This window comes from Homo sapiens, chromosome X, assembly GCF_000001405.40.
Source record: "Homo sapiens chromosome X, GRCh38.p14 Primary Assembly".
NCBI lineage: Eukaryota > Metazoa > Chordata > Mammalia > Primates > Hominidae > Homo > Homo sapiens.
Window position 1 is genome coordinate 57,583,444 of NC_000023.11, and position 27,751 is coordinate 57,611,194.

At 39.6% G+C, this 27,751-nt stretch overlaps 1 protein-coding gene across 1 annotated transcript, besides 3 other annotated features; it reads left to right on the forward strand.

Annotated features, from left to right (window-relative positions):
* Positions 1 to 8,567: 8,567 nt before the first annotated feature.
* ZXDB (zinc finger X-linked duplicated B) lies at positions 8,568 to 14,034 on the forward strand. The gene has a single exon (NM_007157.4). The coding sequence runs from the start codon at positions 8,606 to 8,608 to the stop codon at positions 11,015 to 11,017; it is 2,412 nt and encodes an 803-aa protein (NP_009088.1). The 5' UTR covers positions 8,568 to 8,605; the 3' UTR covers positions 11,018 to 14,034.
* Positions 8,906 to 9,195: a silencer, noted in NCBI's record as "silent region_20871". NCBI's record gives its function as "represses an Ori minimal core promoter by ATAC-STARR-seq in GM12878 lymphoblastoid cells {active_cell/tissue: GM12878}" and the evidence as "EXISTENCE:reporter gene assay evidence [ECO:0000049][PMID:35858748]".
* Positions 9,256 to 9,445: a silencer, noted in NCBI's record as "silent region_20872". NCBI's record gives its function as "represses an Ori minimal core promoter by ATAC-STARR-seq in GM12878 lymphoblastoid cells {active_cell/tissue: GM12878}" and the evidence as "EXISTENCE:reporter gene assay evidence [ECO:0000049][PMID:35858748]".
* Positions 24,319 to 24,818: an enhancer, noted in NCBI's record as "H3K4me1 hESC enhancer chrX:57634195-57634694 (GRCh37/hg19 assembly coordinates)". NCBI's record gives its function as "activates a minimal SCP1, AML or CMV promoter by ChIP-STARR-seq in primed H9 embryonic stem cells {active_cell/tissue: H9 hESC(primed)}" and the evidence as "EXISTENCE:reporter gene assay evidence [ECO:0000049][PMID:30033119]".

Sequence of the window (27,751 nt, forward strand, 5' to 3'; positions counted from 1 at the left end):
AAAGTGCTGGGATTACAGGCGCGAGCCACCGCGCCCAGCCAAGAAGCTTTTTATTTTGGCGGTGCTTAGACAGGTTGCCAGAGAGGGGAAGTCTCTCACATCAGACCTTCCAGAGGCAGCAGCAGAGGGCCACTGCCCAGAAGGGGAAAAAGGCAAGGTAACTCCTGGGGTAGAGGAGAATAGGAGAGAGCCTTATGTGTCTGGGCGATATGACTCAGCATCAGGAGAGGGAGTTTCTGGGTCAGAGAGCTCTGGAGGCAAGCAGTGGCATGGGGTGTTTTATAGCCCCTGTGTTTGCCTTAACCGTGGCTAGCAGATGTTGGTGCAGTTTTGTGGGGCATGCGAGGCAGGCAAGCCCTAAATGGCTACACATATGCTTACTTGAGCTATATTTAAAGCAATTGCATGTGTAAAAAATTCGAGTTTGTCATTGCCAGGCTTTCAGCCTGCTGTGAGAAAGTATAATGGCAACATAGAGGCCAATATATGGAGGTCATCTTTAACCCACTGATATAATAACATGCCACTTAGCCACTCTGATTAATCTGACTGGTCTGAGATAAAATCCATTCAATCTGTACTATCAACAGGACTCTAAGCAGCAAGGTAAGATCAATCTGCAACGTTAACCTGAACTTAAAACGTTAAGTGCACACGTACAATACTACTGCTCCTGAGTTTTTATCTAAGAGAAATGAAAGCATAGGTCCACATAAAGACTTGTACGTGAATGTTTATAGCAGCTTCATTTGTGCTAGTGAAAAACTGGAAACAATCCAAATTACCATACAATGAAATACTATACTATGACAAATAGTAATGAACTATTGATAGAAATAACAGCATGGGTGAATCTGAAAATAACTATGCTGATTTTAAGAAGACAAAAAAGAGTATACAGTGTATAATTCTATTTATATAAAATTCTATAAAGCACAAACTAATCTATAGTGAGAGAAAGTAGATCAGTGGTTGCCTAGGGACAGGGATGGGATGGGGATGGGTAGGGAGGGAAGCAACATAAAGGGGCATGAGAAAGCCTTAGGAGGTGATGAAAATGATCGTCATTTTGAATGTGGTAAGGGCTTATGATTATTGGTAAGGAGTTATGCTTATAAAATATAAATAATTTGTATTTTATAAATTATATAAATTACATATAATTTCATTTAGTTTTAAATTTAAGGAATGGCAATATGTCTTGCATCAAAGAACCCTCAAAACAACACCTTAAGTACTGCAAAGTCTTTGACGATGTATTTGCCAGTTAACTTATCTTTAAACATCAATAATAAAAATTGTCAAGACTTATTTGTTTCTATGTGTTTATTTTAGTGTGCTATTGCTTTTTCACATTCTGGGTCATATTTTCAAAGTATTATTTCACATTGTGTAAATGTATTTTTTTTTCACTATTAGTAAAGAGCATCTCAAGTAAGGTCCTGCTTTCTACTTTGATGGTATAGGAGCATGTTTGACTCAGATATGAACCACTTGTGGACAGAGTTATGGGTGAGAAATCTGATATTTAAGGAACACTCTGGATTAGTTTCCCATTGGTGAGAAAATAAAAAAGTGATGAGCACTTTTTCCAAATACCACGTGATAAATCAAGTACTCAAACATGCTAACTGCATTTAGACTATTCTATTACCAAAATATTCCAATCAATTCCTGTGGACAGTTTGTAAACTGTCATTCCCAATGCCTCCTCATCCTTCAAGTTCCCACTGAAAGGTCTCATAGCTTATCAGACCTTTGGGGGAAGTGCTTTTTTTTTTTAATTAAAAGTTAAGTCATGTGCAGGGCAGAGTGAGGCAAAATGCAGCCAGTGGTCAGGAACTAAAGACCTCTCCTCCACCTGGGCCTTGAGAGTTTGGGAGAAGCTCAGGAAGAAAAGCCAACCATCTGAGTCCAGTGGGCTTTGAAGCAGTGGTCTTGCATCTGTACATGTGGGATAAATGATGTGAAAACCATTAACTCTGCCGCTGATCCAGCTGCAGGGAAAAGCATTTCCTCTGATCAAGGTGACCATCTGGCTGGTGGACCTCATTTTGCACCAGGTCCTGATCGATGAGCTGACCCTGAGTCCACAGTTCACCTGATGGAGAACTCAGAGTCAAAGCCCAGGCCCAAGTGAGGCTGTCTGACTGCTGCTTGAGGGCCTAGGGACCACACCCCTGGAGTCAGGAGGGCGGAGGTGAGGATGATAGTGAAATGGCCAGAAGGTAAAGATACATGTGAATATTCTATCTTCATTAGGTCGCATGGATGAAAGGCAATAGAAAAGTAGCACATACATTTTTTAGAAGTTAAAGCTGATAGTCAGGACACAAAGATGGCTGATTATTCTACAGACATGGAAGGCAGGCGCTCAGGACCTGTAAAATCCCCCACTGAGCAAATAACTGAGACAGTACTTCCTAGTGATGCATTCTGCTGGCAAACAGTGTGAAATTTTTCTGGAGAAGGCTCAGGCCATCGGTCCCTGGTCCATCTTCTGGCCCCACAGAGTTGCTGATCGAACACCCTCCACAGGGAGAGCATTGCACAAGTGATTCCCTTTTTAGAAATTCTTCTAAGCCATTCAGAAGAAGACAAGCTTGCAGATGGAAGGGAATCAGAACCTGGGCAATGTCTTAGAGTGGCCGAGCTATCCCTGTGTGTGGTTTGGAGTGTTTTCACTAAGACAAAACAGTGGGAGAAAGAAAAACCCTACACCCATACAAACTTTGAGGGAATATTGGAGCTTAATGTAACAGAAACCCGTTGTGCTAGGAAATTTTATTACATTCTCTGAAGGGGTCGCAGGGTTCTGTGTCTGGGCTGGTTTCCGTAGTGCAGTAATTGTCAAGCTCACCAAAAGTGCGACAAAATCACGGAATTACCCTTGGTAGAAACGCGGAATTACTCCAAAACCCTACCCTCATCCTCTACCTGGACCAGAGAGAAAAACAACTACTTGAGTTTTCAGAAACTACCAAACCTTGGCTCTAGCTCCGCATCCTTGGCCAGAGCATGGAAGGTTGGGGTGAGGGACACGGTGAACAAGAACTGCATCCTCACGCTGCTCACACTTCCTCTTTCCCCCTTTTGCTCTTGTGTGTGGGGTCAGAGGTTACCAGACAGGGGTCACTAAGGTTGTCAGTGGGAGGATGCGAGCCCTGTTGGGTTCCTCCCAGACAGCTCAACATGGGAGGCTCCCAATTCCCCTTTCTCCTGCAAGGAAAGACACCACAGCTGTGTCACCCTCCTTCAGAGACTGCAGATTGGAAGCCTGTTTTTCCACAAAACCTAGTTCTAAGCCATTTCTAGCAAGTGAGAGTTACTGATTGGAAGCCTAGTGGTGACAGCTACCCATGGGGCAGGCTTAAATAGCGACTCCTCCTGGTAGTGAACGAATTTCAGATTTCACACAAGAAGGGCAAAACCATGGGCTATTTTCTCCCATGAATTTTTGCCTATTTTGGGCCCTAAATCAAATTGAGAAAAGTGTGACTAAAACACTCAAACTGCCAATATAGTTAGAGATATACGCTTTGTGAGACTAACTCAGGAATCTACTGCCTTGCTCCTGCAAGGATACAGCTCTGTAAGGCATGACTTTAAAAGAATTCCAAGCACCTTTTATCTATCTGTTTAACTCTGGTGCAGGGGAACAGAGCAGCATTTAAGGTATAAACAAAATTAGTCTACTCCTGAAGAGAACATTTGCTACTCACATTTATGGTAGAAGAAGCAATCTCACAACACAACAAAGCTCTCCTTGTGAGTGGAGCAGGAAGTCCTGGGTAGGGCTGGACCACAAGGCTCACAGGCTCTATGCCCTAAGCTACTGACGCCCCTTTGTGCCAGAGGCTGGGTTTTGCAGCAAACTCAGTTCAGGCCTGGGAACACTGAGCCCACCAAGAATCCTAAATAGTCAACTAAAACCCCTGAAATAGCCAGGCCCGTTACTTTAACCATTTGTATATCTTTAGGGGGTACAAGTACATGGATAAGTACCATGTACTTGTTGTTACATGGATATATTACCCAGTGGTGAAGTCTAGGCTTACCAGAGCAAAAACAGGGTGGTAGATAATCTCCCTTGTGCAATCAACAACTATAACCCGGCAGGTAGGGTGCCTACTATTGATACTGACTACAGAGAGTGTGGACTCCTCTAACCTGATACAGGATATGAAGCCAGTTATCAATTTATTACCTCTCAGCTCCAAATTCACCCTTCAATATATATTCTTTGATAATAGAGGGATTCTTTAAGCATCTCTCCTTTAAAGTAACATCGAAGAGCATAATGTTACACTTACTTAATAGGGGGCTCTGTAGGGACAGACACTGAAAGAGGAAGTGGTACTTCTATGATTTCTGGTTCTCAGAGTTGTGGACGTGAGGACATTCAAGAAGCTTTGTCTCAGGCCTGGGCCCAGAACAACTGTCTCTCAGCAAACCTGCAGTCCTGCTGTGCCCTAATGATCAGCTTCTTGTGGCCTTCTTGATAGGGACATGCTGTTCTCCAAGTCATCTGCCTACTGCTTCTCTCTGCTCACTTGCTCCACAGCCACACACACACACACACACACACACACACACACACACACACGACCAGGTTCATGTAGTCCTGTCAATACTGCAGCCATCTCAACACTGAGACCCCACCCTAATCCTGTGCATGGAGCATTGTTTACTCCAGGCCTCCAACTGAGCCAGGCCCCCCAACCCCTACTTCACACCCACTTACTAGCCACCAGCTATTGCTTGTCCACACTACCGTGCTTCAAAGGGGGGCTTCTTGCTTCCTCTGTGATCGTAGACCAGTTCTAGCTCTGCAGACCAGCTCAGGTACTGGCAAACCAGTGGAACTTCTCTGCCATCCAGTGGGTTCTTCTCCAATTAGGTATGAAATCCAGCCTTGGGGAGAAGCTTTCATTCTAAGTTTGTCTTTCCTTGGATACTCTCCCCCAGTCCCAGAAAACCCCATATAGAGTTGTCTTGTATTCTATATAAGATATTTTATCATAGTTTAATGATTCTTTATATTAAACCTTCTCTTTCTAGATCACTGTGTGCTTTCTATCTCTGGATTGAATCTATATTGCTACAGAACACAACATCTACAGCAAGCATCATTCTTAATGGAGAATCACTGAAAGCTTTCTCTTTAAGAGCTTCATCAAGTAAGGATGTCCACTATCACCACTTCTATTCAATAGTTTACTGGGGGTGGTGATGGGGTCCCAGACAGAGCAGTAGAGCAAGAAAAAGAAATAAGATATTTGGAAAGGAAGAAGAAAGACTGGCACTATTTACAGATGATATGACAGTGTACATAAAATTCCACAAAGTATTACAGACAAATTATTAGAATCAATAGAAGAGTTTATACGCTTGTAGGATAAAATCTTAATGAACAAAAGTCAATTGCATCCTATTTATTTACCAGAAACAAATTTAGACAGTAAAAATTCCAAACAGGATTTGCACAATATGAAGTGCCTAGGACAAAAAAGTTGCCTTTTGGGAAAAATATAAAGTATTACTTGGGCACATTAAAGGAGACCTTATTAAAAGGAGAGACAGACCAAAGCCATGAACCAAACTTTCAATATTGAGAAGTCAAATCTAAAATATCAGCACAATATGAATTAGAACCCCAAACTAGCTGTTGGTTGAAGTTTTTATGATGAGTTTATAATTTAAATGGAATTGAAATGGGCCAAAAGTAGCCAAGACACTTTTGAAGAAAGATGTAGAATTTACTGCCTTATCCAAATATCAGAATTGACTATGGATCTGTAGTAATTAAGACAGTGTGATATTTCAAACAAATAGGGCCGAGCACTTAATAGCGAGTATAGGAACTAGCCCACATATGGGTAGATACTTGATTTATGGCACTGTAAATCAGTTGGCAAAAGGCAGACTTTTCAATAAGTGGTTCACTGAGAAAACTGGATATTCAAACAAATAAATAAATAAATAAATAAATGGAACCCCACTCAACACAATATACAAACATCAATTGCAGGTGGATTAAGACCTGACTGTGAAGGGCAATAGCATACGTATTTTGGAAGAAAATATAGAAAACGCTTTCATGGCCCAGGGTTTCTTAAAACAGAAAAGATTTCTTAAAACAGATTTCTTAAAACAAAAACACACTAACCATCAGGAAAAGAATGATGAATTTGACTATATTATAATTAAGATCTTCTGTTCACAAAACACAGCACAAAGCAATGGGAAATACAAACAGAACAAGGGAATATTTTGGCCACAGGTATGGACTAGTATTTAAAATATTTAACAGGCTCATTAAGTCAGTAAGTACTAGATGAACAATAGAATAGAAACATGGGTTAAAAGAGGTAAATTTGAATAGGCCTTCTTCGGAGTAGACACTCCAAAAGGCTCATAAACACGAAAATGTGCTAAAGCTTACTAGTAATTTGGGTATTGCCCACCAGTAGACTGGCAAAATTTAAATTCTGGCAATACTTGGTGTGGGTGAAGATGTGGAGCAGTAGGGGCTCTCTGTGCTGCTGGTGGGATTGACAGCTTGCCCAATCACTACAGAGAACAATTTGGCATCATCTAGTAAAGCTCAGGATATCCATACCCTATGGCCCTGTGATTCTATTCTTGGATATATACCCTAGAGAGATTTTTACACATGTGTCCCATGAGAAATGTGCAAGAATGTTCATAATAATCGCTGAAAAATAGAAGCAATCCTAATGTTCATCTGCTGTAGAATGGAGTGGTATAATCATACCATAATCACTTTGCTATAAGCATATGCTGGAACGACAGTCGATGGAGACAAAGGATCTACTTACTTATAACTATTATGAACAACATGGATGAGTCTCAAGTATAATACAGAGTGAAAGAAACAAGTTATAAAAGGAAACTTGCCGTATGATTCCATTTATACAACTTCGTATCAACTCTATTGTTTACGGATGCGTACAAAAGTGATAAAGCTATAAAGGAAAGCAGTGAAATGATTATTACAAAGTCAGGGCAATGACTATATTCATATAGGAGAGTGTGGGTTGTGATTGGGAGGAGTACAGCGGCTGTATTCTGGAAGGCTGGCAGTGGTCTATTGCTTGACCTTGGTCCTGGTTACACAGGTGTCTGCTTTTGTAAAATAATCTAAACGATACAAATATGTTTTATGCACTCTTCTATACCTCAGATTTGAAAAATGCTTCCACCAGAAAAAGTAATAGAAAGAAAAGTATGTGGAGTAGACATTTTGATGAGGTTCAAATAGTTATGGATGAATAGCTTGATTTTCAAGAGACCAAGTGTCCACTGTCATTAAAAGAGGGCGAGAGAGCTGGGAGTATTTAAACAACAGGTTACACCCCGCTCCCCCACCACCACCAATCTAGTCATTACTCTAAGCTTTCTTATCTCAGATATTTCACCCTATATTTGTGTCAATTCCCAACTCAGTCGTAACGGACAAAATGAAGGATTGTCATCATCATTAATAAGATCATTAGGCACCACAGGCCCAGCAAGCCTGGGCCACCACACTTAAATGTGAACAGGTACACCAGGTTGATTGGACAAGATCGTCTGTGCCTTTTACTTGGCAGAATCCATTGCAGTGACTCAGGATTTAACCTAAACACATTTAACTGAAACTCCTGCCCAGAGACCTCCACGTGCTGGAGAAGGCAGAGTAAACTGAGGAATGAATGCCCTCATTGTGCTGTGAGAGCAGACATGAAATTTATCACAGTACAACCGATGGTGGAAGGGCAAAAGTTGGTTTAGGTTGTGCACTGTATAGGGAGAAGCCAGGAGAAGGTTGGGTTTTTTCCAGATTTCAGTGTAAATTGTTTCATCCTCCAGACTTTGAATTTCTAGGCTGAAGAGTGCTAACCTGTTTTGGCCGCATCTCTCACTCATTCTAATGTCTGTATCAGCAAGACAAAATTTGAACTATGCGGCAAATTGTACCGAAGACTTTGCTCAAGATAATTGTGAATATGGAAGTTGTCCCGCGGGGAGGTGGGAAGGGGAAGGACATTTTCAGCAGAACTGCCAGCGCTATGGTGGTTTAATGCTGACACAGAGACAGTTTTTTCTCTCAGGAATTGTCTTTCATCCATCAGTCCAGCCAGCCAGCCAGCCAGCAAATTTTAACACACAGAAAGTACGAAGCAACATATCTAACACTGGGAGGGGCTGGGGTGTGTTTATTTGGGTATATACAATGAGTCATGGATTAAAATTGCTTCCAGCGGATAGATACCTAGGTGTTCCACAGCATTACTGAACAAGCTGTCGTCATTTCCCCATTACCTCAGAAGACCCCCTTAATTACTTACTTATATTAACTGTAGAACGTATTTATGCATACCAGGCTCTACCTCTGGGCTTTCTATTCTGTTCCAGAGACCCAGTACCAGAATATTTAAATCACTGTGGCGTTAAATACGTTTTAATATCTGATAGGGCCAGTTTCTGCGCATTGCACATTTTTTTTTCCCCTTTCAGGAACGTGTTCAGGCCCGCGGCAGGGGGCGGGATCGCGCCTCCTCCTCGGCTCTGGTTCCAGCCGAGCCTCTCGGACGCAGAGATGGAAATCCCGAAGCTGCTCCCGGCTCGCGGGACACTACAGGGCGGCGGCGGCGGCGGTATCCCCGCGGGTGGCGGCCGAGTCCACCGAGGCCCTGACTCGCCGGCTGGCCAGGTCCCCACGCGCCGCCTCCTGCTGCTCCGGGGCCCCCAAGATGGCGGGCCCGGGCGGCGGCGCGAGGAGGCCAGCACGGCATCACGGGGCCCTGGCCCAAGCCTGTTGGCGCCGAGGACCGATCAACCTAGCGGCGGCGGCGGCGGCGGCGGCGACGACTTCTTCCTGGTGCTGCTTGACCCGGTGGGTGGCGACGTGGAGACCGCGGGCTCCGGTCAGGCCGCAGGGCCTGTGTTGAGGGAGGAGGCCGAGGAGGGCCCGGGGCTCCAGGGGGGCGAGAGCGGCGCGAATCCCGCGGGGCCCACTGCGCTAGGCCCCCGCTGCCTGTCCGCGGTTCCCACTCCGGCCCCGATCTCCGCCCCCGGCCCCGCCGCGGCCTTCGCGGGCACAGTCACTATCCACAACCAGGACCTGCTGTTGCGCTTTGAGAACGGCGTCCTCACCCTGGCCACGCCCCCACCACACGCCTGGGAGCCAGGGGCCGCTCCTGCCCAGCAGCCCGGGTGTCTGATCGCCCCGCAAGCTGGGTTCCCGCATGCCGCGCACCCGGGTGACTGCCCAGAGCTGCCGCCAGACCTCCTGCTAGCTGAGCCGGCCGAACCCGCGCCAGCTCCGGCGCCTGAGGAGGAGGCGGAGGGCCCGGCCGCCGCCCTGGGCCCCCGCGGACCGCTGGGCTCCGGCCCAGGCGTGGTGCTGTACTTGTGCCCCGAGGCGCAGTGCGGGCAAACCTTCGCCAAGAAGCACCAGCTGAAGGTGCACCTGCTGACGCACAGCAGCAGCCAGGGCCAGAGGCCCTTCAAATGCCCCCTGGGTGGCTGCGGCTGGACCTTCACCACCTCTTACAAGCTCAAGAGGCACCTGCAGTCGCACGACAAACTGCGGCCCTTTGGCTGCCCGGCAGAGGGCTGTGGCAAGAGCTTCACCACAGTGTACAACCTCAAGGCGCACATGAAGGGCCATGAGCAGGAGAACTCATTCAAATGCGAGGTGTGCGAGGAGAGCTTCCCCACGCAGGCCAAACTCAGCGCCCACCAGCGCAGCCACTTCGAACCGGAGAGGCCTTACCAGTGCGCGTTTTCTGGCTGCAAGAAGACATTTATCACAGTGAGTGCTCTGTTTTCCCATAACCGCGCCCATTTCAGGGAACAGGAACTGTTTTCCTGCTCTTTTCCTGGCTGCAGCAAACAATATGACAAGGCTTGTAGGCTGAAAATTCACCTGCGGAGTCACACCGGCGAGAGACCTTTCCTTTGTGACTTTGATGGCTGTGGCTGGAACTTCACTAGCATGTCCAAACTCTTAAGGCACAAAAGAAAGCACGACGATGACCGGAGGTTCATGTGCCCTGTGGAAGGCTGTGGGAAATCTTTCACGAGGGCGGAACATCTGAAAGGCCACAGCATAACCCACCTGGGCACAAAGCCTTTCGTGTGTCCTGTGGCAGGCTGCTGTGCCAGGTTCTCTGCTCGCAGTAGCCTCTACATTCACTCCAAGAAACACCTGCAGGATGTGGACACTTGGAAAAGCCGTTGCCCGATCTCCTCTTGTAATAAACTCTTCACATCCAAGCACAGCATGAAGACGCACATGGTTAAAAGGCATAAGGTGGGCCAGGATCTCTTAGCTCAGCTAGAAGCAGCAAATTCTCTCACACCCAGCAGTGAACTTACCAGCCAGAGACAGAATGATCTCAGTGATGCAGAGATAGTGTCTCTCTTCTCTGATGTACCTGACAGTACTTCTGCTGCATTGCTGGACACAGCATTGGTGAACTCTGGAATCTTGACTATTGATGTGGCTTCTGTGAGCTCGACTCTGGCAGGGCACCTCCCTGCTAATAATAATAATTCCGTAGGGCAGGCTGTGGACCCTCCGTCCTTGATGGCCACCAGCGACCCTCCTCAAAGTCTGGATACCTCTCTCTTTTTTGGAACGGCGGCCACTGGTTTTCAGCAGAGCTCCTTAAATATGGATGAGGTCTCAAGTGTAAGTGTGGGGCCATTGGGATCTCTGGACTCTTTGGCCATGAAAAACTCCAGTCCAGAGCCTCAGGCTTTGACACCCAGCAGTAAGCTAACAGTGGACACAGATGCTCTGACTCCTTCGAGCACCCTTTGTGAAAACAGTGTCTCAGAACTACTGACACCAACCAAAGCGGAGTGGAACGTACATCCTGACTCTGACTTCTTTGGACAGGAGGGAGAAACCCAGTTTGGATTCCCCAATGCAGCAGGAAACCATGGTTCTCAGAAAGAAACAGATCTTATCACTGTGACTGGCAGCTCATTTTTGGTATGAACCAACTCTATTCATTCCTCATCATGTGGCTTACTTTTATTACAGTCAATTTTGAGGATATTCTGGACTAAATATTTAAGTGCAGTCATTTCTTTTTGGTTTGCAAAAAGAGCACAGCCCTGGACTACAAGTTTGGAGATTTAAATTCTGATCTTGAGTTTGGAACTGACAAGTTGTGTGACCCTGAGCAAGTCAGTTAACCTATCTGAGCCTTAATTTCCTTATTTATAAATTGAGGTGGTTTGAATAGATTGCTTTTAAGGTCTTTCTGCTCTGTGATTCCTTGATAATACATTTCTTTCCTTGAAAAATATGAGGACGTTTTTCAGTGATGTGGCATGCGTTTTTTTTTAACTGCCCCCCCAGCCCTGACATGTTCTTTTTTTGGCAAACATACATAATGTTACATCATACTATGATGAACATCCATGTACTTTTCACTCAATTTCAGCAATTATGAATCCATGAACAATCTTTTTTAACTTAGCCTCACTCACTCCCCATGTTCTAGTATTATTTTGTAACAAATAGCAGACATCTGATCATTTTATCCATAAATATTCTTTATATATCTCTGAAAGCTATGGGATGATATGGAAAAAAATGATAATTCCATTATCGCAAGTGATATTTACAGTAATTCTTTAATATCAGTAAATATCCAGTGAGGGTTCAAACTTCCAATTGCCTCATAAATGCTACTTGTTTTATTATTTTTAATTAGTAGAATCCCGTAAATCTCCTAAGTGTCTTCTTAATCCGTATGTTTCCCTTTCATCTTTCTTTTTTTCCTTGCGATTTTGTTTATGAAATGAGGTTGTTTCACATGTAGCATTTGCCACAATTTAAGTTTTGCTAATTGCATCCCTATGGTAATGTTTGCTTTCCTCTATCCTCTGTTTCTTTAATTTGCTAGTTATGTCTAGAGACTTGATGAGATTGAAACATGGCTTTTGGCATGAATGTTTCATAGGTTATGTTGTGTTCATTTAGTAGGTGGCGCATAATCTGTGGTTTTCTCTCTTTTTGTGGTATTAGCAGCTGCTGCAGATAAATGCATTAATTCATGATGCTTCTGATATGATGAGTCATCTTTGTAGAGTTACTAAGCATTAGCAAAGGAGGAAATGCTATGTAATAGAAATATTATTCAATGCCAAAATATTTTCTTAAATAGTCATAGAACTAACAAGAAAAAATAGATAGCAAAAAAATGTGTTGGCTGTTCTCACTGTTTATCTTCCTAACTTCTTTTGATGATGGAAGGCAGTTTTGTGGAAATTGCCAGCCAGGACTTTGACATGAAACAGACCCAGGGCTAAATTTTGGCTCTGTGGTGTTGGATAAGTGGCCTTGAATAAATTAGTTATTAAGCTTCAGTTTTCTAGCTTTTAACTGATTATAACAATGCACACACATACCTGACACACTGTTAAATTTTCTTCTCTTCCTGTTTCTTATGTTAAGGAAAGATACTCTGTGTTTTGGCATATGTTGGTGAATTTGTACCATTTTTATCCTCTCAGTCCTTCCTTTTATAAGACAATAATTGGAGTAGTTTAATCTTATTCATGTGCAGATAAAAGAGGTTTATGAAGTTTAGGGTGAAGTAGGCAAGGGAATCTGTTTACTCCCTCTTCCCTCTACTGAATAATTTTCCCTCTACTGAATAATTTTCCCTCTAAGAATTGCTGTGGGTAATACCAGGAGTGGGGACATTGCCCACATGCATAAGAGCGTATCTCTCCATTCGATCAGTTTGTCACCATCTTTGCTCTGTTTTGAAAGTCAGGCTTCTCTGTGACTGTGAAGCCTGCTGTTCCCTGAAAATCTGATAATGGAGCAGTGGAGGTTTTTTTCTTTCTGTGCTCTGTAGATCTCATTGTTTGCACTTGTAATTTCCCAGAGTTGAAAGGAAAGATTGAACTGGAATATTGTGTAAACTATCTGTCTTACATTAGTGTAGCATTTTGCAATTTGGGGAACATCTTCACAATTTGTGTCTCGTTGTTCAGAACAACCCTGTGAAGTAGTTTTGGCAATGTCTGTGTTACATTTCATGTAATTTAGCCAACTCCCATTCCAACTAGGCTTTGGCTAAATCTGACAATTTTATATATAGCTTAAAACAAAGAATATACATTCTTTTCACCCCTCCCAGTCTACCCATCCAGCCTTCATGATTCATTCCTGTGTCAAGGTTAGTCGCTGTTTTCCATTTGAATTGGTTTCTTTTATGGTCAGTTTACTTTCTTCCCTCTCCCCTCCCTTTCCTGCACATCCCCATCCTTGCTATGCCTTTCTGTCCTCTTTTATAATGGATATATCTTTTTCCTGCCATTATCCCTCAGACATTCTCCTCATGGCACATTTTCTTCAAATGCTAACATTTACTGAGTGTACATTGAAGTTCTGTGCATACAGGAAGAAGTTATTTTCTGAGCTTAGATAATACTATGTGTATATGTGATTAAAATGAAGATTATTTTCTAAAGCCTTCAAATTAGAAGTGGATTTCTGTTTCATTACTTCCGTTTTAAAAGTTTTTGCCAGAGAGTTTTGCTAAATACTCTCTTATTTGCTCTAGTGTACTAGTCCAGTAGTGTTTGCATGTGGATGTCTGTGGATGACAGTTATTGTAGCACTTTGGCAGTGCACTAAAATTTTGCCACTATGAAATGTTTCTTTATTGTGTGTGCGTGTGTGTTTTGAAATACGCACACAGCCACACCCACATATATATTAAAAGTGGTTGTATTCATTTAGTGAAAAACAAAAAGTAGATGTACTTCTGTAAATCAGATAAATGCTTGGAATTTGATTGTCTACCCAATCAACAGTTTTCCCTCTTTGCTCTGGAAATATTTGTACTCATATAGCATATTTCAAAAATGTTGTCATTCATTAAGGCCTCTTAAATAGACCACTATTTTTTGTGTCTGGCAGATGAGTATGTCAAGGATTGAGATGAACACATAAGTCTTGGAAATTAAATAAATTTATAAACATAAAGATAATTTAATGCTGTGACTTCATTTTTTAAATTCTTTAAACCAACTTTCTCCCAATAAAAAATTATAAACTATGTCTTTTCCTACTTACTCCTGGAATTTTCAAAGGAAAATTTTACGTTCTCAAAGGGAACAGCTTTTATTTGTCCATGGGCTCACAAAGTTTCACTGAACAAATTTGTTCAAATGATTTCTCTTTCAACATCATTTTCTAGCAAAATCATGGAGAACAGCTTTACACTTTCAAGGTAATAGGTATAATTCTGTTGGTGGTGACAAGCTGCACTTAACTAGTCTGAAAAAAGTTGCCATCACTCCTTTTAAATAATGGTACTTGTTTTAATTTCATCCTGTTTCCTTTCTGCTTCTCCTCAGGCATTGACTTATTAAAACTTCTCGTCAATTGCAAACACAGTAACATAATGGCTTAAAAAGAATTATGTTTCTAGGGGCTCCATTGATCATGTTGGTCATAAGCTAAAAATACACTGACATTTGTATTTTTTACCAATTAGTATAATTAATACAACAAAATGCTTGAGTAGTAGTCGAGAAACATGGATAGACTATGAAGTTTGTCTCTGTGACCTACATTGTTCATGTTCATGTCCAGGAAACATATAAGAAAGCAATTTGTAAGCTGGAGATTATACTGTATATATTCCAAATTAACAAATATTTACTGAGCGTCATTGTGAAGATTACACCATAACATATTGAAGGGTCTGTGAGAGGAGTACTATATAACCCTGACCTTTAAAGAGATCGCCATTGATGGGAGGAGATAGAAAAATAATATATTAAACTATTGAAGAACAAAAACGGAAAAATGTTTACTTTGGCACCAAATGAAAATGATTAAGAGGTTAACAAAAAAAAAGCAGTAAGAATAATGAGACATTTATTCTGGGCACAGAGAAGAGCCACCAAATATGTTTTAATAGAGGAGTCAGACAATGAAAATTATGTTTTAGAAAAGTTAATGTCATGCAAGTGTACAATGTGGATTAGATGGGAAAGACCGGAATAGGAAAATCAGTGAGAAAGCTTTTGCAGCAATCAAGGTGTGATATGAAGGATGAAGCCAGGACTAGGATGGTGTCAGTGGAGAGGTATTGGAAATATTTTCAAATATTTCCAGTATTTGAAGACAGATTTCAAATATCAGATAATTTCAAATATCTCTTCAAATACTGAAGAGAAGAAGGAATATTACTTAGTACCTCATTGCGGTGGAGTGGGGGGGAAGAAAAGAGGGAGGGAGGGAGAGAGAGATCATCATGGAAACCAAGAATGGTAACTCAGGTTTCCTTGGGGACTATAATAATCATATTTTTACTAACAGAATGAGGGAAGTAAGAGTTCTTTCTGAGAATCAGTGTATAAAGATGGTGTATTTAGTTAAACAATAATTGTTAAAGCATTGTTATCCTGCATGAGGATACATTATAACGTGGATACATTGTGGTTTATCCACTTTCTAGAAGACAGCAAAAGGCTACTTTTTTTTTTTATTTTTTTTTTGGCAGGGGGTTCCTTTAGGCATTCTCAGAACTACCTACACAGTTATGATCCTCTTACCTCCTTTTGAATTACGAGAGACCTCCCCAGCTTGTCTTGAATGATCCAGATCTGCATTGGCCAATATGGTAGCTACTAGTCATATGTGCCTATTCAGCACTTGAAATGTGTCTAGTGCAACCGAGGAACTGAATTCTTAATTAAATTTAAGTTTTAAAACTGAAGCAGTATAAACATTTTTCTGTTAGACACAACTCTATTGTTTCAGCAGGACTAAATTTCACTTTAGCCATTGAAAATTTAGTATCTAAATTGAGATGTGCTATGAAAGTAAAATATAAACCTTAATACAAAAAGTTTTCAGAGGCTTAATACAAAAAAATTAAATATCTGATTAGTATTTTAATATTGATTACATGTTGAATAATGTTTTCAATAGATTCGGTCAAAGAAAATATTCAAATTAATTTTATCAGTTTCTTCTTACTTTTTTAATGTGGCTACTAAAAAAATCTGAAATAAAGGCAGGACACAGTGGTTCATGCCTGTAATCCCAACACATTAGGAGGCCAAGGCGGAAGGATCACTGTGACCAGGAATTTGAGGCTTCAGTGAGCTATGATCCCACCGCTGCACTCCAGCCTGGGTGACAGAGTGAGACCCTATCTCTTTAAAAAAGAAGAAAAGTAAAGAAAATTTAAAATTAAACATATGGCTCTTTTAAAAAATAAAATTACATATAAACTCTCATTATATTTCTATTGGACAATGCCAATCTGGACATTACATCACTTCCTGAGACTACTCTGTATGAAAATGAGCTATGCCTTCTGTGCTGTATACTAACTGATTATGTTTAGGGTATAATAGTCTGTGTATTATAAAGGACTGCATCATAATTTCAGGAATTCAGTATTTTGTCATGAATTTCAGCAGTTCACTATGAAAGTAGAAGTGAATTTTACCTGCATCTGTCTCAGTTGGAGCTGGGAAGAGTAAGGTGGTGAAAAGTCCAGTATTCCTGGATCTGTGTGAGATTGCCTCATTGAGGCATCTTACTCATAATCTCTTCTGTCACTAAAGAGAATCATGAGCCAAGTGATAGCGTGAGAACCCCTACAACAGTCTTTCCATTTTGTAGTTTCCCTGTCCACTAAAAGAGAGAACTCTAGAAGGAATGGAACAAAAATAAAGGGTAAAACATTAAAGGAGTGTAAATAACTCTCCAGGAATTACACTGTATTTGATGGTGAATTTGATAGGAGTCCCACATTGTCACCTAGGATAATTTCTCCCTCTTGTTAATTGCTGACATTTAAAGACATACAGAACTCTTTTAACTTTTTATTTTTCTAAAGACAATATCCTAATTCGGTATTTTAAAACAAAGCACACAGAGATACCTAACAGCACCAACAATTTCTGAATCCCTTAAGACCATCCATTCTATTTGTTTACTAAGCTATCAATCAGCACTTATGTATTGAATACCTAATATATGAGGTATTGTGAATTATTACACCTAAAGTATAACTCATTAATCCATACCAAATTTTTTTGAGTATCAATTATGTAACAGGTATTGTCTTTATGTTTAAAGATATGATCTATATGGGAAACTATTAAAACCAGTATATAACAAAGCTTTAAGAGGTACATTATAGGTTTATCAGAATAAGAAGTACCATTTTCTGTAAGTGAGCATAAATTTTGATGATGGGAAACCAATATGCACAATATCATGAAATATTGTATTTCATCAGAAACTAAAATTTTGTTTAAAGTATAAGTATTGCAACAAAAGTATTCTAAGCTAAAACTTTGACAGGTTTCTGAGAAGTAGATTTGATAAACTATAGCAAAATATGAAAATCAATTATGAAACAGACTTTGTTTTTTATTTATTTTTAGATTACAACTTTTGGCTTGATGAATCTTATACCTATAAGTGATCCTGGGGATTGTGTACTTATCTCCCTCATTTTATGAATGAGGAAAGGTATTAAGCCTACACTTTGTGTGTAAATTTCTTTTCTTCTTATTATAAGACATTATTGCAAAATTTAATTCTGTGGAAAAATAATGACATTATTTCAAAGATAAATGTATTATATTGACACACTAGGTGGAAGGAATGAACTAGTAATTAATTTCATGTAACATTTGGGACTGAAAGTTAGAGTTAAATATGGAGGAACCTAAAAGTTCACCAGTGCTCAGGGGTGGAGGTTCTGGTAAACAAGTAAGTGTTTTGATTTCTGGTAAAAAATAGTAGCTTAACATTTTTGACAATTAGGGAAAATTCTGTTTCAAAATAGCAAAATAAAGCTTTCTTTAATGCTAAGAATTTTTTAACCTTCAAGATGTAAAACACTCACAAAGGGTAAAAAACAAACATTTTCCTTATAGCATAATAGCAAAAGAAAGTGATTTATTTTAAACAAGACTAACCTCTCTCTTCTGTTTACAGTACAGCATAGAAGCTAACTTCAGAATTTTCTCCCTTCAAATGACAGAAGGAAACTGTCCACTTGTCTGCTTAGAAATTTTCCAGAACAGAGAACCCTAGTGAAGGAGCAGCAGCAGTTCATCCCTAGCTAGTTTCAACTTTAGTGCTGCCTTAGTGAGTCCTTTCCTGTCCAAAGTGCCAACATTAGCTAGTTAACACCAACTACGGTCAACTTTTAGTACTTGCTATGTGTAAGAAAATTGAGCATTTTCTCCTTCAATTCACATATGATTGTGGGCTTCCTGGTGCTAATTATTAATTATCTCATTATAATTTTAACAATAATTTAATCAGTTGGCATGTCTTATGATAATAATTACACTTTAATATTTTATCTTCATTTAAAAATTGTTTTGACTAAATAAAATTTTGCTTGAGATAGGGGTACATTTTTCTACACTATTTGAATATCTCTCAATCATCTCTGTATTTTGGAAGCAATACAATTTAGAGCTCTGTTAACATTTATTTAGATAAATGTTTAGAATTATAGCCTTAGAATGTTGGCTACTTCGAAAATGGAGAAAGGCAAGTATCCCCCACGTTCATAGATCAGTGATAAAGTCTCTGGAAAAAATTTGGGGAGTGAGACATTAAGTAGGTCTTAGAGTTAAGATCAAATTCACAAGAAAAAAGCTATTTGATTCTGTTGTTTAAAAGTATTCATTTATATTTATCAAATTTGCTGCTGAGTATAATCTTATATATCATATAAACTTATAGAAGCCTATTTTTAAAACTCCGTTTAAAGTATTATGTCATTAATTGGTACTTTAAAAAATAGGCTAACTGATATTATATTTTATTTTTACAAAGGGCATCTGATAGCATTTAGACTTTGAAATTTGAATACAAAATATATACAGTCCTTAAATATAACATTTCATAATATTTGTAAGGTAGTTCTGACTATGATTCATAATAGATTCTTTTGCAACAACAACAAAAATATTTTACAAAGGTAAAATGTTATGTGCATCCACAGCCAACATTACATTTACTTTCCACTCATATATTCATAATAAGACAATAGTAAAAAGCATTGAGAATTATTCTCAAAGATAGAAAACAGGATATACCATGGCTAAAAAACATAAGAAGGATTTTACAATAGAGCCACATACTTTTTACTTTCTCGAAAGCCTTTGATCAACAGCATCTGGAAACAAAGATGAGAGGCACGTGTTCAATATTCTCCAGTATTTTCCAATTATACTGAGCAATATAAAGACATCAAATAAACATTATTACAATATTCAATGATTGTCTAATACAAACTACATGAAGAATCATCGAGGGTACATAATACCCAGTGAAGAGAGAAATTTCCTTAATTGACATCCTGCATATGAAATGTCAAAAGTGGTCAAATTAAATGTTATTTTATTTGACACTGAGAGTAGATGGTGCTTTCCACAAAGAAATACTCTTTAAAGGTGTTTTCTTTTCCACTTACAGTGAATATTTGATTCAGATAATGAAAATCGCTAATTCACTCTCTTAAAATTTCTACCTGTCCTCTTTATTGTTGTTATTATTATTATTTGTTGGGAAAGGCAGTCTCATGTCTGCAGTTTTTGGTTCCCACTTAGCCACATATTTATGGACCTTGGGCCTGGAACACTCCCTAACCAAGAGATAAAATGCCCATATGACTGTGCTGGACATACCACCTCGTGCAAGAGTATCTTTCCCTGGTGCAAGCTAAATGCGTGCCTATTTTTCTGCTTAACCATGTGGGTTACATGGCACCTGGCAAACCCCACTGCCATACCTTGCCTCCCTAGGGAAGGGTTAGGATCCTTTCTCTGCAGCAGGAGAGGGGTGTGCCACAGGCAAATTTCCCTGTTGGCTGCCAAAAGAAATCATCTAGCCACGGGAAATCAATGCACACTATTGAAGCTTATCATGCACTCTTTATGTAGTAAAGCTTTGCTCCATCCATTGCTTAACTGTGTTGTGGGGTTTTTTGGTGACTCCAATACCCAGATGCAGTGGGCAGAAGGGTTTGGAGTCCTCCCCTGGAATTGGTAACTGGTGCATGGTATTCTGCTTGATATTATTATTATTTGTAATAATTTCCATCTGAACTCATTTCCTCAATGTTGTGAGATTTATTCATGTTCATTGAGTGTAGCAGTTCATTTATTTGAATTTCTCTATAGAATCACATGATATTCATTCACATGTTAATGAGTATTTGCATTGTTTCTTGATTTTGGCTGCAACAGATAACATTATTTTAGTTAACATATATTTTAGTGCATTTTCATATGGATTTCTATGGGTCAATACCTAGAAGAATGGAAAGGTTATATAGTAGCATGTGTAATGGTTCCACTTGCTCCATGTCTTTTCCAAAATTGGCATTTTCATCTTTTCAATTTTAGCCATTACTATTGGTTTTCTAATAGTATTTCATTGTAGTTTTAAATGTACATTTCTATGATTACTAATGGGCTTGAGAATCTTTTCATGTTTGTTGGATATTTGGATATCTTATTTTGGAAGTCTTGTGTTATTTAAGTGGGTGAGGGCTTTGTCTTTTTCTTGATTGATTTTTAGGGGTTCTTTATATATTCAAGGTAAAAGCATTTATTAGACACATATGAACAAATATTATCCTACTCCTTTTATTTTTTTAAATTAAGTTCCAAGGTACACGTGCAGGATGTGCCAATTTGTTACACAGATAAACGTGTGCCATGGTGGTTTGCTGCACCTATCAACCCATCACCTAGGTATTAAGCCCGGCATGCATTAGCTATTTCTCCTGATGCTCTCCCCACAACTGTCCTCCCCTGACAGGCCCCAGTGTATGGTATTCCCTTCCCTGTGTCCATGGGTTCTCATTGTTCAGCTACTACTTATAAGTGAGAACGTGGTGTTTCAATTTCTGTCCCTGCGTTAGTTTGTTAAGGATAATTGCTTACAGCTTCATCCATGTCCCTGCAAAGGACATGATCTTGCTCTTTTTTTATGGCAACATAGTATTCCATGCTGTACATGTGCCACATTTTTCTTAATCCAGCCTATCACTGATAGGCACTTGGGTTGATTCCATGTCTTTGCTATTGTGAATACTGCTGCAATGAATATACACGTCCATATATTTTTATAATAGAATTATTTATATTCCTTTGGGTATATATGCAGTAATAGGATTGGTGGGTCAGATGGTATTTCCAGTTCTAAATCTTTGAGGAATCACCACACTGTTTCCTACAATGGTTGACCTAATTTACATTCCCACCAATAGTGTAAAAGTGTTCATTTTTATCTGCAACCTTGCCAGCATCTGTTGTTTCTTGACTTCTTAATAATCGCTATTCTGACTGGTGTGAGATGGTATCTCATTGTGTTTTTCATTTGCTTTAGCTGAGTCCCAGAGATTCTGGTATGTTGCATCTTTGTTTTCATTCGTTTCAAAGAATTTCTTGATTTCTGCCTTAATTTCATTATTTACCCAGAAGTCATTCAGGACTAGGTTGTTCAATTTCCATGTAGTTGTGTGGTTGTGAATGAGTTTCTTAATCTTGAATTCTAATTTGATTGCCCTGTGGTTTGGGAGACTGTTTGTTATGATTTCATTTCTTTTGCATTTGCTGAGGAGTGTTTTACTTCCAATTATGTGATCATTTTTGGAGTTAAGTGCCCTCTGGCACCAAGAAAAATGTATATTCTGTTGTTTTTGGGTGGAGAGTTCCGTAGAAATTTAACAGGTCCACTTGATCTAGAGCTGAGTTCAAGTCCTAAATATCTGTGTCAATTTTCTGTCTCAATGATCTAATACTGACAGTGGGGTATTAAAATTTCCCACTCTTATTGTGTGGGAGTCTAAGTCTCTTTATATGCCTTTAAGAACTTGTTTTATGAATCTTGGTGCTCCTGTATTGAGTGCATATATATTTAGGATAGTTAGCTCTTCTTGTTGAATTGAACCCTTTACCACTGTGTAATGCCCTTCTTTATCTCTTTTGACCTTTGTTGATTTAAAGCCTATTTTGTCAGAAACCAGGATTGCAACCCCTGCTTTTTTCTGCTTTCCACTTGCTTGATAATTTTTTCTTTATCCCTTTATTTTGAGCCTATGTGTGTCTTTGTAGCTGACATGTTTCTTTTGAATACAACACACTTATGGGTCTTGTTTTTTAATCCAGCTGGCCATCCTGTATTTTTAAATTGGGGCATTCAACCCATTTACATTTAAGATTAATACTGTAATGTGTGAATTTGATCCTCTCATCATGATGTTGGCTGGTTAATTTTGCAGACTTGTTAATATAGTTGCTTCATAATGTTGTTGGTCTGAGCACATCATTGTGTTTTTGTGGTGGCTGGTAATGGTTTTTCCTTTCCATGTTTAGTGCTTCCTTCAGGAGCTCTTGTAAGGTAGGCCTGATAGTGATGAATTCCCTCAGCATTTGCTTGTACAAAAAGGATTTTATTTCTCTTTCACTTATTAAGTGAAAAGAGAAATAAATTATGAAGTGAAAAAAGAAATATCACTTGGCCGGATATGAAATTCTGGGTTGACGATTCTTTTATTTAAGAATCTTGAATATTAGCCCTCAATCTCTTCTTGCTTGTAGGGTTTCTACCAAGATTCCCGCTGTTAGTCTGATGGGCTTCCCTTTGTAGGTGACCTGGCCTTTCTCTCTGGTTGCCCTTAACATTTTTCCCTTCATTTTGACCTTGGAGAATCTGATTATTTTGTGTCCTGGGGTTGATCTTCTCATGGAGTATCTTATTGGGGTCCTCTGGATTTCCTGAATTTGAATGTTGGCCTGCCTCGCTAGGTTGGGGATGTTATCCTGCATGATATCCTGAAGCGTGTTTTCCAACTTGGTTCTATTCTCCCCGTCTTTTTCAGGTACTCCAATCAGTCATAGATTCAGTCTTTTTATGTAGTCCCATAGTTCTCAGAGCTTTTGTTTGTACTGTTTCATTCTTTTTTCTTTAATCTTGCCTGCCTGCCTTAATTCAGCAAGACAGTCTTCAAGCTCTGATAGTCTTTCTTCTGCTTGGTCATTTCAGCTATTTTTCATGTGTATGCATCATAAAGTTCTCTTGTGTTTTCCAGCTCCATCAGGTCATTTATGCTCCTCTGTAAACTGGTTATTCTAGTTAACCAATCCTGTAATCTTTTATCATTGTTCTTAGCTTCTTTGCATTGGGTTAGAACATAATCCTTTGGTTCAGTGAAGTTCATTATTACCCACTTTCTGAAGCCTACTTCTGTCAGTTCATCCATCTCAACTTCAGCCCAGTTCTGTGCCCCTCCTGGAGAGGTGTCGTCATCATTTGGAGGAGAAGAGGCATTCTGGCTTTAGGAATTTTCAGCATTTTTGCATTGGTTTTTCCTCATATTTGTGGATTTATCTGCCTTTGATCTTTGAGGCTGTTTACCTTTGGATGGGGTTTTTGTGGGGTCTTTTTTGTTGATGTTGTTGTTGTCGTTTTCTGTTTATTTGTTTTCCTGTTACCAGTCAGGTCCCTCTTCTGCAGGTCTGCTGCAGTTTGCTGGGGGTCCACTCTAGACCCTGTTCACCTGGTTATCACCAGTGGAGGCTGCAGAACAACAAAGATTGCTGCCTGCTCCTTCCTCTGGAAGCTTCATCCCAGAAGGGTACCAACCTGATGCCAGTCAGAACTCTCCTTTATGAGGTGTCTCATGACCCCTGTTGGGAGGTCTCACCTAGTCAGGAAGCACAGGATTAGGGGCCCACTTAAGGAAGCAATCTGACCCTTAGTGGAGCTGGTGTACAGGAATACCCCTCCATCGGATCTCGCAGACTCTTCAGAGCCAGCAGGCAGGAAGGATTAAGTCCACTCAAACTGAGACCACAGCCGCCCCTCCTCCCAAGTGCTCTGTCCCTGGGAGATTAGAGTTCTGTCTGTAAACCCCTGGCTGGAGTTGCTAAAATTCCTGCTGGGTGGCCCTGCCCAGTGAGGAGGGATACATCTGGGTCCCACTTAAAGAAACAGTCTGGCCATGATCTGCCACAGCAGCTGTGCTGCGCTGTGGGGAATTCTGCCCAGTCTTCCTAGCACTGGCAGGGAAAAAACTGCTGACTAGAGCCACAGTAATGGTGGTCGCCCCTCCCCTCGGGAACTTGGTCATCTTAGGCAGACTCCAGCCTGCTGTGCTGGGCAGCGAGGATTCCAAGCTAATGGATCTTCGTTTGCGGGGTTCTGTGTTATTGGGACACACTGAGAGAGGCTGCTTGGCTCCCTGGCTTCAGCTCCCTTTCCGCGGGAGTGAATGGATCTCCTGCCTCACTGGAGTTCCAGGAGCCACTGGGGTATGCAAAAACTCCTGCAGCTCAGTGCCTACCCGAGCAGCTGCCAGCCCCTGCAGCTGCCATGGGTCTGCACAGCTTTGTGCTTGGGACCCAAGGCCTTGGTGCTGTGGGCTCACAGGAGAATATCCTGATCTGCGGGTTGCAAAAATCTGTGGGAAAGGCGTTCTTCGGGCGAGTAGCACAATCCCTCCCCCGCCTCCCTTGGCTAAGGGAGGGAAGTCCCTTTGCCCCGTGCAGTTCCTAGGTGAACCATCACCCCACCCTGCTTTTCCTTGCTCTTTATGGGTCGCACCAACTGCCTAGTCAGTCCCAATGAGAGGATCTGGCTACCACAGCTGGAAATGCAGAATTCATTCACTGTTTACGATCATCTAGCTAGGAGCTGCAGACCAGAGGTGTTTCTACTCGGCCATATTGTTCCCTCCCTCTATCCTACTCCTTTTACTCTTGTAAAATGGTGGCTTTTGATAAAAAGTTTTAATTTTAATGTACTCCAGTTTTACAGTGTTTTTTTTTTTTTTTTGGTTTGTGCTTTTTGTGCCTTTAAAAACAATGTTGCTAATCCAAAGACTATACAGATATTTTCCTGTCGCTGCTTTTTAGAAACTTTTCTTTTTTCATTTCTATTCATAATCCACCTGGAATTAATTTTCATAAATGGCATGAGGTAGGCTGTTACACCGTTTTTTCACCATTTAGATATCTGGCTTACCCAGCCCCATTTATTAAAAAACACTACTGTGGCCTGATTGTTCTGCCATGATCACTCTATTATAAATCAAGTGTCAATATATGTTTAAGTCTGCTTCATTGCTCTCTATTTTGTTCTCTGTCCTTGCACCAGTACCACACAGTTTTAAATACGTTAGTAAAATTTTGATATTTGGTAGTATAAATTCCCTAACTCTCTTCTATAAGATCTTCTTGACCATTATTGACTCTTTCTTTTTTCATATACGATTAGAATAAACTTATTCATTTCAATGACAAAACTACTTGAATTTTATTTGAGATTCAGTATTGAGTCTTCTAATCTATGAACATAGTATATTCCCTCCATTTAGCTATTTCTTCATTTTCCTCAATGTGTGTGTGTGTGTATATATATAGTTTATATATATAGTTTATATATAGTTTATATATATAGTTTATATATATAGTTTATATATATATAGTTTATATATATATAGTTTATATATATATAGTTTATATATATATAGTTTATATATATATAGTTTATATATATATAGTTTATATATATATAGTTTATATATATAGTTTATATATATAGTTTATATATATATAGTTTATATATATAGTTTATATATATAGTTTATATATATATAGTTTATATATATAGTTTATATATAGTATATATATAGTTTTATCTGTGGAGATTTGCACAAATCTGAATCATTTTAAAACCTTTGTTCTCATACTACAGTATAATGTTTAGCCCTGACACATATCACTATAGACTCTTTTCATTCCTTCTTTTTTTGTTGTTCTTTAATTCAAGTTCTTGACCTTCAAGACAATTTGTGAAATGATGCTTACTGGTGTTTTGGTTATACATTAGATTACTTCTAATGTTTTGGTTACATGTTGAATAACAATAAACACTTTGCTTATTTTTCTGGATATATCTGAACAGTTAATGTATTTGTGTATCCAACTCAGATATTTTGTGAACATTATTTTGATATAATATTGATACTTTTAATAAATATATCTAATACTTATTTTTCTTTTCTATGGAATATAATGGTGGACAAAGTAAGTTCTCTAAATTTGTAGATGATATTAAATAAGACACTTTAATTCCTTTTCACTTGAAATTTGTATATGCTACATGAAGGAAAACATGATCTTGAAAGTATGAGCAAATATTTTGGCAAAATTATTCTGTCTCTCTAACAATTTCTTAAAATGAGAAGACTATTTATATTGTGAAGTTTTTTTTTTAGGTGAATCTTACAGATTATACTTATATTTTTATTTTTTATTTTTTTAATTTTTATTATTTTTTTATTTTATTATTATTATACTTAAAGTTTTAGGGTACATGTACACAATGTGCGAGTTTGTTACATATGTATACATGTGCCATGTTGGTGTGCTGCACCCATTAACTCGTCATTTAGCATTAGGTATATCTCCTAATGCTATCCCTCCCCCCTCCCCCAACCCCACAACAGTCCCCAGTGTCTGATGTTCCCCTTCCTGTGTCCATGTGTTCTCATTGTTCAATTCCCACCTACGAGAGAGAACATGCAGTGTTTGCTTTTTTGTCCTTGTGATAGTTTGCTGAGAATGATGGTTTCCAGTTTCATCCATGTCCCTACAAAGCACATGAACTCATCATTTTTTATGGCTGCATAGTATTCCATGGTGTATATGTGCCACATTTTCTTAATCCAGTCTATCATTGTTGGACATTTAGGTTGGTTCCAAGTCTTTGCTATTGTGAATAGTGCCGCAATAAACATACGTGTGCATGTGTCTTTATAGCAGCACGATTTATAATCCTTTGGGTATATACCCAGTAATGGGATGGCTGGGTCAAATGGTATTTCTAGTTCTAGATCCCTGAGGAATCACCACACTGACTTCCACAATGGTTGAACTAGTTCAGAGTCCCACCAACAGTGAAAAAGTGTTCCTATTTCTCCACATCCTCTCTAGCACCTGTTATTTCCTGACTTTTTAATGAACACCATTCTAACTGGTGTGAGATGGTATCTCATTGTGGTTTTGATTTGCATTTCTCTGATGGCCAGTGATGGTGAGCATTTTTTCATGTGTTTTTTGGCTGCATAAATGTCTTCTTTTGAGAAGTGTCTGTTCATGTCCTTTGCCCACTTTTTGATGGGGTTGTTTGATTTTTCTTGTAAATTTGTTTGAGTTCATTGTAGATTCTGGATATTAGCCCTTTGTCAGATGAGTAGGTTGCAAAAATTTTCTCCCATTTTGTAGGTTGCCTGTTCACTCTGATGATAGTTTCTTTTGCTGTGCAGAAGCTCTTTAGTTTAATTAGATCCCACTTGTCAATTTTGGCTTTTGTTGCCATTGCTTTTGGTGTTTTAGACATGAAGTCCTTGCCCATGCCTATGTCCTGAATGGTATTGCCTAGGTTTTCTTCTAGGGTTTTTATGGTTTTAACATTTAAGTCTTTAATCCATCTTGAATTGATTTTTGCATAAGGTGTAAGGAAGTGATCCAGTTTCAGCTTTCTACATATGTCTAGCCAGTTTTCCCAGCACCATTTATTAAACAGGGAATCCTTTCCCCATTGCTTGTTTTTGTCAGGTTTGTCAAAGATCAGATAGTTGTAGATATGCAGCATTATTTCTGAGGGCTCTGTTCTGTTCCATTGGTCTGTATCTCT

Coding starts and splice junctions, on each gene's coding strand:
- ZXDB (NM_007157.4), top strand. CDS start 8,606: ATGGAAATCCCGAAGCTGCTCCCGGCTCGCGGGACACTACAGGGCGGC.